Genomic DNA, 16,941 nt, shown 5'->3' with positions numbered 1-16,941 from the left:
TCCCATATGAGTGAGAACATGCAGTATTTATCTTTCTGTGCCTGACCTATTTCGCTTAATATAATATCCTACAGGTTTATCCATGTTGCCAGGAATGACAGGATTCCATTCTTTTTATGACCGAATAGTATACCATTGTGTATATAGACCACATTTTCTTTATCCAGGCATCTCTTGATGGACATCTAGGTTGATTCCATATATTGACTATTATGAATAATGCTATAATAAATATGGGGGTTCAGCTATCCCTTTGGTATACTAATTTAATGTCCTTTGGTTATTTTTAACTACTATTTAATATGCACCTTTCTTCTTATCAGAAAGTCCATAAAGTAGTAAATAAAATAGATAATCTCATCTCTATTTTACCATTTGAGGAAATGGCAGAAATATAAGTATAATTTGGAATTATTTGACTCCAGTGATTTGATCTAAAATCAATATAATATGTTGCTTCTCTGGTTTATTCATGAAAATGTCAATGAAATATTTAATAATATGGTAGTATCTGTGTATATTTATATAAGGCCCGTAATATCCTGTAGTCATTGAAAGCCAATATGGCTCACTCACTCTGCCATTTTTAAGTTGTCTTTTTATTAGTGATATGTAGAAAAACTGTATATGTCCTGGATAGAGGTCACTTGTCATGTATGCATATAATACAAATATTTTTCTCTGTCTCTGATTTGCCTTTTAATTAATTAATTAATTAATTTTACTTATTTGAGATGGAGTTTTGCTCTGTCACCAGGCTGGAGTGCAGTGGTGCGATCTCAGCTCACTGCAACCTGTGCCTCCTGGGTTCAAGCGATTCTCCTGCCTCAGCCTCCCAAGTAGCTGGGACTACAGGCACGTGCCACCATGCACAGCCAATTTTTTTTTTTTTTTTGTATTTTTAGTAGAGACAGGATTTCACCATGTTGGCCAGAATGGTCTCCATCTCCTGACCTCCTGATCCACCTGCCTTGGCCTCCCCAAGTGCTGGGATTACAGGTGTGAGCCACCACACCCAGCATACTTTAAAATTTTTTTCCATGTACTTTGATGAGCAAAAGTTTTCAATGTTAATAAAATAAACTTATCATTTTAAAACACATTTTGTATGTTTTGTGCCTTCTTTATGAAACATTTGCATGTTCCAAAATCCCAAAGAATTTATCCAATGCGTTCTTCTAGAAGACTTACAGTTTTAGTCCTCTGTTTAGGTTTATAATCCACTCAGTTAATTTTCGCATTTCATAGAAGGTTGGTTTAATTTTTAATATATGGAAATACAGTTCAGCACCATGTGGCAACTTCCTTTTACCCATAGATTTGCTTGAGATCTTATCATAAATAAATTAAACATATATGTGTGTATGTCTAGTTCTGTAATCTCTGTTCTATTCTATTGGTCTATTTTTATTTCCTTAGCCAATGCTAGTGTTTCTTGGTTAGTGTATATTTATATCAAATTTGAGGTTCTATAAAACAAATCTTCCAGTTTCTTAGTCTTTATTAAGATTGTTCTGACAATTCTAGATCCTTTGCATATACATATAAATCTTAGAATCCACTCGTCAATTTATTTTAAAAATTCTACCAGAACTTTAATTCAGCCTCTTTTGATATTTGCCAAATATATGCCAAGGAGTTATTTGCCAAAATGTCTCCTTCCTTTCCTTCTACAGTTACACGTATGGTAGATTAAGAATTCTCCTACTGGTCACTGAGGCTCTATTCATTTTAGTTCAACCATTTGTGGTCCTCTCACTATTCTACAGATTAGATAATTTCGTTGGATAAATTTCTGAGTTTATGGTATGGTAGATTAAGAATTCTCCTACTGGTCACTGAGGCTCTATTCATTTTAGTTCAACCATTTGTGGTCCTCTCACTATTCTACAGATTAGATAATTTCGTTGGATAAATTTCTGAGTTTACTCATGCATTCTATTTTTGCCTGGTTTTGTTCGTTCTTAAAGGACTTTGTGCAGATTTCTGTGTGTTTTTATACAGAATTTTTGTAGTTTTCAGTGAGAGAGTTCATCTGAAAAAAGCGACACCACCAACACAGAATAGCAAATGTCAATGTGGCTTTCTCTCTCTCTTTTTCTTTTTAATTTTAAGAACTTTTCTGTGTTTTCAGTGAAACAAGCAACTCTTCAGTGATTCTAAACAGGGCCCTTCCAAGTAGAAACAGTAATTTGGGATATTTAACTAAAATCAATTATGTATAATTAGGCATAAAGATCAATTTCTTGTAAAGTGGTCCTGACTTCACTATAATTTGGTAATTGTTTAAAAATGAAATTCACTAATATAAATGAGGAAACCAGTAAATGGAGCACTGTCAAGAGGGTGAATTTAAGGGGAAAGAGAATTGAGTAGCATCTTTCATGTGTTTTTCTTAAGACTAAATGAACCAATTCATGTAAAATACTTGGTAAGCATATAATTAATTTTAGCTTTTGCTACTTTTGTTATTGTTTGGCATAACAACTTCTCATTCAATTTTATGTCCACCATTTTGTGAATATAGCCAAATCCAGTATCCTTTTTATGGCATTCAGGTGTTTATGTAATTTATGTCTATCTACTTTTATAAGCATTTTTCAATATTTTCTTAACCAGTCGTTTGCTCTAATCAACTAGTCTTAGTGATTGTGTCATAAACAAGCCATATACATTCATATTTTCTCTGCTGTCATTCATATATTATATCTTCTCTAGAATGAAGTCTCTCTTCTTCTCCTTCACTTCTGCAAAAATCCACTTCCTTTACTCCTCCTACTGATTTGCAAAGTTCTTGACAGCAAAGCCTGTGATCGATTCAAATTTACAGCCCTATTTTACAGCACATATAAGGTATTGAATAAATGTTTGATAATCAGGAGAATATGAGATGTGGGGATGTTCTTAATCTTAAAAGAAGTTCAAAGTATTATCATTCTCTTCTGACAGACATATTTGAAAATAGGTATGACACAATTTTTTAGTCTGAAATCACAGAGTTATATTTGAGTACTGACATTCTTATGGCCATGTGTAGAACGAAAAGAATCACAGCTTTCTCTCCATGTTTTATTAACACACAGAAAAAAGATTGAAAAATATATCATTTCTTAAAAATGAAATGTATGATTTGCTACAAATGGCCATATGGAAAATATGATACCTGCTTATTTTTGACTCAGAGTGTATTCAATTTTTATACTAACTGAAAATTACATGATTGCTTTCTTTGTTTTAAAAGTGAAAAAAATGTAATAACTGCCTTTAGCCTTGTAATATTGAATGCGTCAATTGGCTTCCCTTGTAGAATGTTGAATTGGCTATCACTGGGGGCAGATGTTCTATACATCGCAGTAATACTGCTTATATAATTGTGATAATTTTCCACTTCTAATTTGTCATTTTCAGTGATTTAAAAATCACTTCATGACTGCCTGAAAAATGACTGACGTTTTTCCTATATTAAGTAATTTCTGCTGGTAAAGTGTAAGTCTTTTAATGAGTTCTTGAATTCTGTTGAAGTCTGCATATTTTCATTCTTTGTTCAACTAAACAGGTGTGACAATTTATAGAACTCCATGTAGAAACATCTCTCTAATTACTCCATCTTGGGACTTAGAAATGTGTTTTATGGGGAAGTGCCATAAGCTTATTTTTCAGATACAGGAACACTTCTGAACATATGGCTTCAGTTTTTATTTAGTACAAAAACTTGAAAATGAAAATCTAGAAAGTTAAATTTACAAGGCATTTTACCTTTTCTCTGTGGGTAACCTTATTATTGTATCTTGTCTGTGATACTCAGTGATATGACAGTTTTAGAAGCTGGCTATAAAAGCACAATACCATAATTATTAAAGTGTCATCATCCTTTCAATAGATACCATACTGGATTTCTTAGAATGTTGATTTGATTAGCATGAATAAAAATTCGAAATTTTTACAACCTACTTCATCATATTCAGGCTTACCTTAATAACCCAATCAAATTCTTATTTTATAGGTTTAAAAGCAATTTTAGGCTGGCTACTGTGGCTCATGCCTGTAATCCCAGCACTTTGGGAGGCCAAGGCCAGTGGATCACAAGGTCAAGAGATTGAGACCATCCTGGCCAACATGGTGAAACCCCGTCTCTACTACAAATATAAAAATTAGCTGGGCCTGGTGGCACGCGCCTGTAGTCCCAGCTACTCGGGAGGCTGAGGCAGGAGAATCACTTGATCCTGGGAGGTGGAGGTTGCAGTGAGCTGAGATCGCACCACTGCACTTCAGCCTGGTGACAGAGCGAGACTTTGTCTCAAAAAAAAAAAAGCAGTTTTAGAAATAGCTTGTAATAAATGAACATTTCCTGATTCAAGATAAAGATTTGGAAATAATTAATATATTTTGAACTCAAATTATGCCACAATTCAGGAGAATTTTCCATCAAGTTTAAAAGCAAATTTAAAAATAATCTGAGATAAGTGAATTAAATTAAGATGTACATATAAATATCTTAATGAACAATCAATTTTGTAAATTTGGGGAAAAATGTAATACCTTTTTCTGTCCTTTATGCATTAGATTTTATTCTATTAGTATTTGTTAGTCTATCTATGGTAGACCAACTCTGATAGCAGGGTATAATTGAAATTAGAGCTTTTAAGGAGCATCTTTAATAGAGTTTATTCTGTTTGATAAAACAAATATCATGCGTCATGGTAGATGAGGCCACCATTTGGTGTTTAGAACCCAAGGTTTCACTTCAGGAGCAGGGTCGCAAAAAACGGGAGCTTCTCTAATTCAATCATGCCTTTTTTTGGCAAGTTACTTTTTTTTAAATTTTTTTTTAATAAGAGAGTAATCCTCATATCTTCTCCCTGACAAAATTTTACTTAAATAATTGCTCTTAAGAGGTGTTATACTTGTATAATGAAGAATATCATTGAGATAGTAAGAAATACAGAGTGAACATCATTTTTGGCTTACTGAAATCATGTAATCGGTTCTGTAATATTCCTTATTTATTATTTTCTGAGTCTAAGATTTTAAAAATGGAATAAATTTAATTACTCCATGAAGAGAAAGCTGGGAAAAGTGCTAATGTCTCTCTTTCTCTCTCTCTCTCTCTGTCTCTGTGTGTGTGTGTGTGTGTGTGTCTGTCTGTCTGTCTGTCTGTCAGGGGGTACAAAAATTTATAAAATGAGTATATACTTTAGGTAAGGTAAACAACATATGTCAGATGATTTTTATTTCAGTTATTTTAAAACAGTTATTGACCAATGACTTTCTGAGTAAATCCCAGATGTTAATTTGAAAATGGTGCCTTCTTATACTTTTCAGAATTTTTTCATAGAAAAGTAATGATCTGGCTACTTATCATTAACTAAATATAAAATTATTTTCAAATAAATATCCTTGACCACACAGAATTTTATTAGTATAGCATTATGTGTAAATTTAGCCTATAATTTTGAATTTTCGGTTTATTTTAAAATTTCAAAATATTATTAATTAACATTGTTCCACTGGGTATATATAAAGACCAATGCTAGAAAGATTCAATGTACCTATTATTGAATAAATGAAAAGCAGTAGCTCTTTTATCTCACCTAATGTAGTTTGTTTTTATGACCCAAAACCAAGAACTACTTGTGTATTTTTAGTGTTTTGAACTCTGTACAATGTTTTCATACAAAGATGGCCTTCAGTGATTTTAACTATGAGAAAATAAATACAATAACCATTAAGTGCTATATATATATATGACAGTTGAACTAGGAGGTGGTTAGTTTTCCCACAAGAGACACTATAATTTTCTGAGTAATTTATTTTGAATGCTGATAAAATACTTTTGTCTGAAAAAATCTGACTTTTATCAATAGCTGAAACTCTGGGATTTTAGTATATATTACAAGCATATTTTTTCTCTGTGCCTTTGATCTATGTTCTTCTTATCCTCAGCCAAAATGCAAGTCTCTCTGTTTTTTACATTCTCCGGAGCTCTCATTTCTTTCCTAACTTTTCCTCCTCTGTCGTTCACTTCCAGTTCTTTGAGCACTTTTAATTCTTAGTGCTCTTTCATCTTCACTACTCAAAGTTTTTACTGGTCATCTGTTTCTGTGTGATAAACTAACCCTAAATTAAGTGGTTTAAAACAATGACAACATTTATTTTCATAAATCAGCAATTTTATTTTGATTTTGCTCTGATCATTGTCATTGCAAAGACTGGGTGCTAGAATTATCTAAAGATTGCTTCCTCCCAAATCTGGAAGTTGATGCCAGCCATTGGCTTAGATGTTGCTGATGCTATCTGTTGGAAGATTTACATACTGACTTTCTACATGGCATTGGCTTCCTTATACATGGTGCTAAATTCCACAATAAGCTTCAATAGAGACAATGAGCTGTATTAACTTTTATGACATCTTCAGAAATCATACATTGTCATTCTCTGTATATTATATTTGCTGAGGATTTTATAGAAGCTCATTTAGGATAAAGGGGTAGAGAAAGGTCTGTAAGACCAATTTTGGTTGGAAATTTTGCTGAAACTATTTTTGATAGTCTACCACACCACACGTTCTTTTTTCTCTTTCTGCAGTTTGTTACAGAATCATAGAAAGCTATGCATTCTACCATGTACCATTCCCCATGGGGGTCATTATTACTTTCTCTAAGCTAACAGTTGCATTTATGAAACTATTGCTTTACACATATTATTCAAAATCTGCTTCTTCTTTGAGCTCCATGTCACCTTATATCAGCTTTGCTACTGCTTTAACTTTGTCATTTACTGTCTTCTTGGTTTCTCCTCACTAATTGATGGATACACCTACTTGATAGTCTTTCTTTTCAAATACAAAACTTGTCATCGGTATTTTAAAATCTTACTTCAAATTTTTTGGTCTCCTTAACTGCAAGGAAAATCACAACCACTTTAATGTAGCAACTCATCCACAAAAGTCCCAAGAACCTCATCATTACTCTAAAAAACACTGGGCCTTGTTATCCTTCTAGTTCTCTCACTTTCTGAATCATTCTACATTTCCTTTTTTTTTTTTTTGAGACAAAAATCCCATAACCAACATTGTTATTTTTCCTGTGGAGGAAATTTTATTTGCTGGGAAAATATTTCTTTTGAAGTTCAAGGACTTCAATGTCACCCCATATCTACTATTTATTAATCTTGTCCAAAACATTTAACTTTGCTGAAGCTAAATTTTTTCATGTGCAGTAGTTGAGTAAAAAACAAAAAAGATAATTATTCTGAAGTTTAGTTAGATCTTGTATCTAAAATATAAATATTGTGCTTAGCATCTAGATAGTACCAAATTATTAATTATTGGTTTTCTCTTGCATAAATTTTTGTTCTTTAGTAATTAATCAAAATCCAGGTGTCACAGTTACTGACCACAGTTGGTGGAAATCCCAACATTTTTTATAGCTTTAAAAATACAGTGGCCTCTAGTCTCAGCACTACTGCCAATACATTATTTCCATCTTTTCTTAGGTATTGACACAGTAACCTCTTTAATATTCTATTGCTTCTTTTTCAAATTCTCCAAGATTTTTGGGTTTGTTTGCCTTTTGTTCAATTTCTCTTTCCTAAAGTTTTCCTTACTCCATCCTCATCAAGGATATTGTTTTTATCTCTTACACAGAAATGACATATCAAATTTATCTATTATTTATCAATTTATTCTTAACCATACAGTCCCTTACCTTTTTCTCTAGTTTTATTTGCTTGAATCTGTCTACATATAGTAATAACATTCTGACCTGAATTTCTCTCCTTACCGATAGCCTGATGTAATATATTCACATGAATTTAGCACCATTGGATTCATTATTTGCTATATATTTTTTAATGTCTAAGAACCAGTGACTTAATTCTAGTATATTACTTGATAGAAGTAGACTACCTATGAGGGTAAATTGTTTCATTTCATTAAACCGGTGTCATTGCTTATGAAAGCATAACCTAGGGACCTTAGGAGTTTGGACCCACAAGAGAGGATATACCAAATAAGAGCATATTATTAAAAAAAAATAAATCTTAAGAGAGAAACAATTTTATAAAGACAATATTTACAAGAACCAACCTAGGAATTAAGTAAGAAAAATAGTGAGTTTTAAATAAAATATGCCTAAATACATAAACCAGTTAATGAGATGGAGTGATGGCTCTCAAATACAGAAATATACGTAGTTTAGTGTTTGACTTCCTCTCTTTGAACTTTATCTCATCTGTAAATTTTTCCTGTCAGTACAATCACATTTTTGTACAAATAAGACACTTTATATTTCTGTTTATGTGCTATATTATTGGATCCTATACTTTACTGAATTCCAAATAATTTGTAAGTCATAATGAAGAGTTGTTCAGGAAATTCAAGGCATGTTATTCAAAAGCTCATCAAATTTGTAACTGCTTACATTAAAAAATTTTTAAGTTAAATTTGTTCCACAAACTTTTCCATAAGAATATGTATCTGACATTTTAGTGTAGATATTGAAAATATAATTTGCAAAATAATTATAAAACATCTCCTGTTTTGTGATCATCCTAACGTACTGCCTTCCAAGAGAAAACATGGATCTGCCAAACATACCCATATTCTTCCATGATGGTTATGTTTACCAGACATAAATGGCTTTCAGACTTACAAAATATTTTGTTATAATTACATTTCATCTTCAACATTGGTACACACTTCTTTATATGGATCTTCCAACTCTATGATTTCGTTTTTGAGAAGTAATTAAACAAATACATATTGCAGTGTATCACATGATCCCCTTCAAAGTGCATGGAAACTGACAATATGATGTTAGTTTGTGTCCATAAAAAAATGTACTGTTTATTCAGGCACTGAGTAATATGAATTAAAGCAAGATGAACAAATGCAATCATCTTCATATAAACTATATATAGAAGAGTTTAACACTATAAAACATAGCATAATCTAACCAAATTTCTTCTCCCATTTAGGTTCTATATTTAGTTTTTAAATATGTCTCATTTAAAAGGATAATGCCATGAAAAATATTATGAAATATAGTTTAACATGACAATACCATGTTATCTTAAGGTTAAAATATCTTAAAATATTTTATTAGAAATAGAATAGTAATGGTAATTTACATAATCACATGATTTCTATTGTGAACAAGAATACAAATAATTATGATTCATAGAAGAGAAAAAATAGTCAACTAGTATTTTCCATATCATTTATTTTACAGTAAGGAATATTTTTCTTTCTAATGGCTCTGGCTACAGAGGTAATGAGATCATATTCTGAATTTTCAATTACGTCAACATAAATTACAATGATGTCAAAGCAGGAGTTAGTGAAAAGCTGGTTGTGATATGCTAAGCAAGTTGTCCAAGATCTGAAAATCATTGGTTTTACTCTCTTGTACTAATATAAAAAACAATCCCAGAATTCATCGTCATTTATCTTTATTTTATTAGTTGATTTTATAAACTCCTTTTTTTTGTTTTTGTTTTTAAAACAGGGTCTCACGTTGTTGCCCAGGCTAGAATGCAGTGATGTGATCTCAACCCACAGCAGCCTCAACCTCCTGGGCTTAAGTAATCCTCCCACTTCAGCCATTGAGTAGCTGGGACCACAGGCACCCTAACAAATCTGACAATTTTTTTTTTTTTTTTTTTTTGTAAAGATGAGGTCTCACTATGTTGCCCAGGCTGGTGCTTTTGTAAACATTCTATGCCATCCTTTTGTTTTCGTTTTTGTTTGTTTGTTTTTTGAGACGGCGTCGTGCTCTGTCACCCAGGCTGGAGTGCAGTGGCGCGATCTCAGCTCACTGCAACCTCTGCCTCCTGGGTTCAAGCGATTCTCCTGCCTCAGTCTCCCAAGTAGTTGGGATTACAGGTGCGTGCCACCATGCCCAGCTAATTTTTGTATTGTTAGTAGAGACAGGGTTTCACTGTATTGAACAGGCTGGCCTCAAACTCCTGACCTCATGATCTGCCCTCCTCAGCCTCCCAAGCCATCCTTTTTTTATAGCTTCACCTTTAATTTTAGAACTAAACACTATATCCACATCCATCTTCTTAAGTGACTTTGGCGTGTAGGTAACAATTTCTCTTCTTGGTATCACACTTAACAACTTATACATTAATGTGGATGACATGTCAAATTCCAGAGATTTACAGTTAGCTCTCTTTGATTATAGTACTAACATATAATCATCAGTCTTTCTGTCAGCTCAGTTACTTAAAAATTTCAGATTATTTTCATGTCTTTGGACTGGCTAACACAGTACTAGCCATATGTAATCATTTAACGTTTAAATGTGATATCTATTGTATAGAATGGTTAGTGACAATATATTGTATTCTTGATTAATGAGTATTGCTTTTAATGCAAAAAAATTGAATGTATATTTAGATTGGTAAGACTGCATCAAGGACATCTAGCTTCATAAATTTTAAAACCAATCTAATATATTAAATTAAAATTGAATTAAAAATAATAATAAGTTCTATTTATTGAGTACTTGCTACATGTTGGGCAATGTGTTCATTGTATTTTATGCATTATTTACATTTAATCTTCAGAATGATACCAAATAGTATTTGCCACTTTACTTCCCATTGCACCCATTAATTAGAGAAAAGAAAGCTCAGAAGGCTTTCATGAGTTTAAAAATTTCTTAAGTCTATACCTTACTTGTGGTAAAAGGAATGTTTTTAAACATTAATGACATCAGCATATTTTTCTCCTTGATACTCAGTTGGAGACAATATTTTAATTGCTGGCATATACTCTTCTCTTGCTTGCTATCGGTCCTTTAAAGTAAGCACATTTTAAGGAAGATGGTATTACCATAAACTCCTCTAGAAACATCCTTTTCCTGAGAAAGTATTATTTTGTATCTAATCTCTTATATAGACAATTTTTAAAAGCCATACATAAAATTTAAAATGCCATGTGGAGGAAGCTTGGGCATTTTTCTTTGATATGATTTTAAGTCACAGTGCAATCTGGCAATTGCTATACTTAGGCTAAAGCTAGGGACTTAAAATCTTTGGAAATTTACTTACATCATTTCCTCAGCAGATGCTTGGCAGAATAGATGCCTATGTATAGCTGAGGAAGAAAGTTTTTTGAGGATAGTGAGAGATATGTTGAAGTTTGAATTCCTCTGGCTTTTTGTGACTTAAAAAAAAGAGCTGAATGGTATTCACCAGTACTAATGGCAAAATGTCCCTCTTTCTTGAAAAATACAAATTTTCAAGAAAATAAAAGAAATAAAAAATACAGAGAAGAATAATTTTAAAAGAAAAACAAAATTTGATTTTGGTGAAGTTCATGTGACTCATAGATTTGAAGGTGTATACATTTTCTTTCATACATTGAGTTTTGATCCTATTTTTAGATTCACTGACCTAAAATATTTGATAAAAGAATATATGAAAACATTATGTCCTTAAAAATTTTAATGGAAAAGAAATACATATCTATGTATATTTACCAGACTGAAAATATTTTTTATGAAGATTCAAAAGTATAACTGAAAGAATTTCACTGAAATAAAAATGTTGTTTTAAACGTTTTCAGTTTGAACTACTTATGATATTACATGTCAAAAAATTGGTTGTTACCATACTTCTTCCAATTTCATGATTAACAAAGTTTATGAACTCATAAAATTTGATGTATTATATAAGGTCGCTAGAATTGGCAAATAAAAACAGAAAAAAGTCCAGTTAAATTTGAATTTCAGAAAAGGAATGGATGTATTATTATATCTCATATCTTGAATGGGAAATACTTATACTGAAAAATATTGTTCTATCAGAAATTCAAATTTAAGAGTGTACGATATATATTATCTGGCAACCCTAGAGGTGAATTTGAACTTTGATTTCTTCTTTGTTTCACAGAAAAATTCATTAGATCAAAGAAGTAAAGAAAAGTATTTAAGTAGAGACTACATAAAATATTAAAAAGAGTGAGATATTCCTGATGCCATATCTCATAGAATCTTAAAGTTTTAACATCTGTGAAGGACATTAAAGATATCCTTCACAGAAATGAATGAGACATTTCTGTGGAAGAGAATAGAGTTTCAGTTTTGGTTTTTCTTGAAATGTAACAATCACCAGAACTGAAATTTCTCTCTCAGAATTCTCCTTCTATTGGGCTTCCATAAAACTTACACTGCTTTGCAATCATAGGTATATCAAGGTATATGTTTTTTATTTGTGATTTCCTTAATAGGTAACTTTTGTTCGAATTAACCAAAGGCACCCAAATACTTAAAAGGACGCTGGAATACATAAGAGTCATAATGAAAAAGGAGGTTATATTCAGGTCCTGACATGCAAAATAGGGCCATGCAACAAAATAACTAAATAACTAACTAACTAACTAACTAAATAAATAAATAAATAACTTTAAAGGCTGGCTGTTATGTTGTAAGTCCATCCTGAAGCACCCAGGCCGTAGACTTCTCCCTCACTGTGCATAGTATTATTTAACTAAATGTAAAGTAGCTAATCTAGCTTAGTGGGAATAATAGCAAAGTCCTAGAGGAAGTAAGAATAAAATTTCCCCTATTCTTGCCCCAAAAAGCATGAGAAGAAGGCTTTGAAAAAAGAAAACAGCAAAAATAAGTTATATGTGTCACTGTCTCTTCTTGTAGCTTCGGCTCTGATTAGGAAGAAGCATCAGAACATCTCTTGCCATGATTCCCTGTTTAAGGTTCTGGAAACAGCTTTTTGTTACTTTCCCTTTAAGGATAAAGTGTCATAGGAGTGCTCAGGAGGTTAATTTTCCTGAGCTGCCCTTAGTTCTTCTCTGGTATAAACCCAACAGAGAAACCACTGAGAGTCTAGTTTGAGACTTTGGGGAAAGGAGCAAACAGGGCATTGGAGTTCCCACAGTCAGTGATGTGCATTCTTTATTTTCAAAAGTAATGTGTGCATGATAGTAATTAATCCCTTCTAGTTTGGAGACATTTTAGGTATATCTCTTAATATATTATCTTTGTCTATGGCTTTTTTTAATCAAAAGAAAAGCTATAATCAAAATCTACACATTCTTCTTAATATAATTCTGTCATATATTTTTATTTTGTCTGGACAATTACCCCCACACTATTATTTTCTAGTGTTAACCTACATTTGCGGCTCCTTTTTACCTATGTATTTTTAAGTAATGTTATTAAGCATTATTAAATATATAATTTAATTTGGCTTAAATTAATAGGATAATTTGGAGAGAACAGACAGTATACTGTTAATTCATGAAATCTCATAAAGTGACATATCTCTTCATTTATTCAGATTTTTAAATCTTCATTATGATAGTTTCTCTCATATGGGTTTTGTATGAGTGTTTGTGTGTGTGTGTATGTGTGTGTGTGTGTGTTTAAATAGTCATGTGTATCAGTTTTGTCATTCTAGGGAATAATATCTTATTTCTGATTTTTTTTTATAACTGTTAGTCTTTTGGTAAGGAAATGGCATTGAATGTTGGGCATCAATCTTGTATTCTGCAACCTTGTGGAAATCTTGTATTCATTCAGTATTTTACCTATTTGTTCTATGCATTTACTTGCTAGATAATCCAGTTTCTCTGCATATGATTAGAATAACTAACTTATCTTCCAATTTTTAAATTTTGTTATATAAGTGAGGCAAAAAGGCCTCTGTATATTGGCCCCTACATTGATATTTCTTCACTACAGACTGATATCTGTTAGCTCAAATGCCAGCTGGTACCACATTAAAATTTTTACATACATAATGGTTTTAAAAATAGTCCAAACAAGAAGATTTTTAGCTATTAGGTGGGTGCAAAAGTGACTGTGTTTTTGGCCATTACTTTCAATGGCAAAAACCTGAATTACTTTTGCACCAAACTAATATTTAGAGCCTGCCTACTTTGTATAACCTGTAAAACTACATATAGCATCTGCTGGGCATTGATGAGCTAGAGCTTTGTGGTGATAAAGCCTAAGCTGCTACTGCCCTTAAGAGCTCTCTGACCCAGAAACTTTCCGTGGTGCTGCTTAGTTATCACTTGGACAAGTAAGTCTCTCTCGGATTCCCTTTTACCTCAGGAGTTTCCTTGTGTTCCTTCTCTTCTGGATGGTGGCCTCCTCACAATTAGTGTCTGAAGGTCTTAAGTTAGAGAGACGTCCCTTCTCATGCAACCCTGTCCAAGTGCCATTCAATGAAGTTTGTGTGTGCATTACTGTCTTTTTTCATCACATCTGTTTTCCTTGATCAACCCCCAAATCTTTCCAATTTCCAAATATCTCTTATTTCCTTTTTTTTTTTCATTTTGGTTTGACCAAGACCTCTAGGACAGTAGTAAATGGTTGTAACAGTGAGAATTTTAACAATGTTCCTCATATTAAAGGGAATTAATTTAATTTTTCCATTTCATATGAAATATACATTGTCCAACATATTCTCCCATGGTTTTATTTGTAACTATCCTGAATGAATTTGTTTCTAATAAATGGTACATATTATATTTTATTTTGAGGATTTATTTCTTTCGACTCATTTGCTTAATGTCGTATTTTATATTCTAGGTCTAAGTGTCAACAATGAAATATCTCTTTAACTGAATCCCTTAATAAAAACAGTATATACAAAATTCTTCAATAAAATATTATCTTATATTTACTGCTTCCATTACCTCAATGCCTTTTTTAGTTCCAATTCTTGGTTTTAGTGGTGGTATTTGAAATCATATATACATTATAATATAATGATCTAGAAAAATTATTAAAACTTGTTACACTATTATACATTTTATATTGCTGAGGGCAATGCAATTTCTAAATTGTTTTTCTAATTCTCTGTCCCATTAACATTTCTTCTTTCTCAAAATTGTAGAATTTTCTTTCTCTTATTTATTATTGATTGATTGATTGATTGATTGATTGATTGATACAGGGTCTTACTCTTCATCCAGGCTGTGGGGCAGTGGCACAATCACAGCTCACTGCAGCCTCAATTTCCCAGCCTCAAGGGATCCTCCCACCACAACCTCATGAGTAGCTGGGATCAGCCAACACATTCAGCTGATTTAAAAAATTTTGTAGAGTTGGAGTGTCATGATGTTGCCCAGGCTGGTTGTGAACTCCTGGACTCAAGTGATCCTCCTGCCTTGGCCACCTAAAGTGCTGCAGTTACAAGAGTGGGAATAAGCGACCATGCGTGGCCTGATTTTGTTTTGGTATTAGAAAGTTCCTCCAATTTGAATTTTAAAAATATATTTATTTATCTCAACGCTAATTGTGCTTTTCTCTGACTCTGATGTAAATTTAATTCCAATTTTTATTTGTCTATAAATTCTAACTTATGTTACCCTTCTTTTCCATTTCATTCTATTATCTGTCTTTTTTGTTTGTTTGGTTGGTGTTTGTTTGTTTGTTTGTTTGTGACAGAGCCTCACTCTGTCACCCAGGCTGGAATACAGCGGCACAATCGTGGCTCACTGCCACCTGGACCTCCTGGATTCAAGTGATTTTCCCACCTCAGGTTCTGAAGTAGCTAACACTGCAGGTGTGCATCACCACACCTGGCTAATTAAAAAAAATGGGGGGAGATGAGGTACCATTATGTTGCTCAGGCTGGCCTCAAACTCCTGGCCTCAAACTCCTGGCCTCATGTGATCCTCCCTCTTCAGCCTCCCAAAGTGCTGGAATTACAGACGTGAAGCACCACAACTGGTTTCTGCTATCTTTTTATCTCATTTATTTCTCTCTTGGTGTTCTTCTCTTTTCATTTTATAGACATTGTATGTTCTTGAATATGGCAAAAGGTTTTTCTTATTAACGCAGTAGACTATTATCTAAATTATATTTTATTTCAGTATTCAGAACAATGGTTCTATTCTCTATTTTTGTAGAACTATCTATAAATATTGCTGTTTGTTTTTTCAACATTACTTAAAGAAGTGAAAGCTACCCCAATTCAGAAATTTTTAGTAATTAGGTCATGTGGATACCTTTAAGCCTCATCTCTCTTCACTGAGTAATGGCAAAATAAATTTCTCAGTCCCACACGTGGAACACAAGGTAAGTTTCCAACCTAGTCATTGGTTCTTGTTGAACATCTACAGATTCTCTAGTCTACTGTGGTGGATTCTGCTTCTATGCTCTGAATCAATGGAAGCATGAAAAACCGAAGTTTCCAGACTCTCTCCTGTATGCTCACTTGGAGTATCATATGGAGTTGCTGTTTCAGAATAGATGCAAAACGACTGGGGAGAGGAGATGGTTTAGAGGAGATAGGGCTCCAATTTATTAAAAGGTGGCATGTAGACGGATGATGAAACTTTTTACTTTCTTTTAGATGATGAGAAGACAAAATATTTGTATATTGATTACATTAACTTTGATGTTGGTAGAGATTCAACTTTGGCATTTAGTTGTATTACAAACTTTAGTCTTATTTTCAGTTTTCACAGATATATTTGACATAATTTGGGAGATATCTTATCATGCACTACAACTCAGGCATTCTTTAAGCCAGACAGTGTAATTTGCTATTCTGTAGTAAACAAAATTTAACTACCTTCATGGGACAGCCAAGATAAATATTAGAAATATCTACCCCCTGTAGTTGTATATCTAATCTTACAAACTGTATCCAAAAAGTCTTCTTTGCTTCATATCTCCTGTGTCTCCTGTGATCTTGGTTGTATGTACAAAATAACAATTAAAATGCATCAATGTGTATACTTTTGAATGATCTCTGCATTAACTGGGGACCGCGTAATTGCATAAGATTAGACTACATGACAATTTACATCCATTTATCGGAATCCAATAGATAGAAGAAAATTGAAAACATAACTGAAATTTGAAAAAAGAAAATAGGTAGATTTTTCTTTAGGATAAAGATAAAAGCACCAAATCATACATTTGTATGAAATTAAATATATTAAAAGTATATAGT

The 16,941-nt window shown here is 32.5% G+C and overlaps 1 protein-coding gene across 4 annotated transcripts in view, besides 1 other annotated feature; it reads left to right on the top strand.

The window, feature by feature from the left end:
- The window catches only part of EYS (eyes shut homolog), a 1,987,247-nt gene that overhangs the window by 226,332 nt on the left and 1,743,974 nt on the right, over nucleotides 1-16,941 (top strand). The gene's annotated exons all lie outside the window — the stretch shown is intronic.
- Nucleotides 10,325-10,494: an enhancer, noted in NCBI's record as "experimental_92928 CRE fragment used in MPRA reporter constructs". NCBI's record gives its function as "activates a minimal promoter by MPRAs in K562 erythroleukemia cells, with activity observed for the non-introgressed 6:66180379 variant allele {active_cell/tissue: K562}" and the evidence as "EXISTENCE:reporter gene assay evidence [ECO:0000049][PMID:34662402]".

This window comes from Homo sapiens, chromosome 6, assembly GCF_000001405.40.
Source record: "Homo sapiens chromosome 6, GRCh38.p14 Primary Assembly".
NCBI classification, from domain to species: domain Eukaryota; kingdom Metazoa; phylum Chordata; class Mammalia; order Primates; family Hominidae; genus Homo; species Homo sapiens.
The sequence above is the reverse complement of the archived record's forward strand: the minus strand, read 5'-3'. Positions and strand labels throughout refer to the sequence as shown.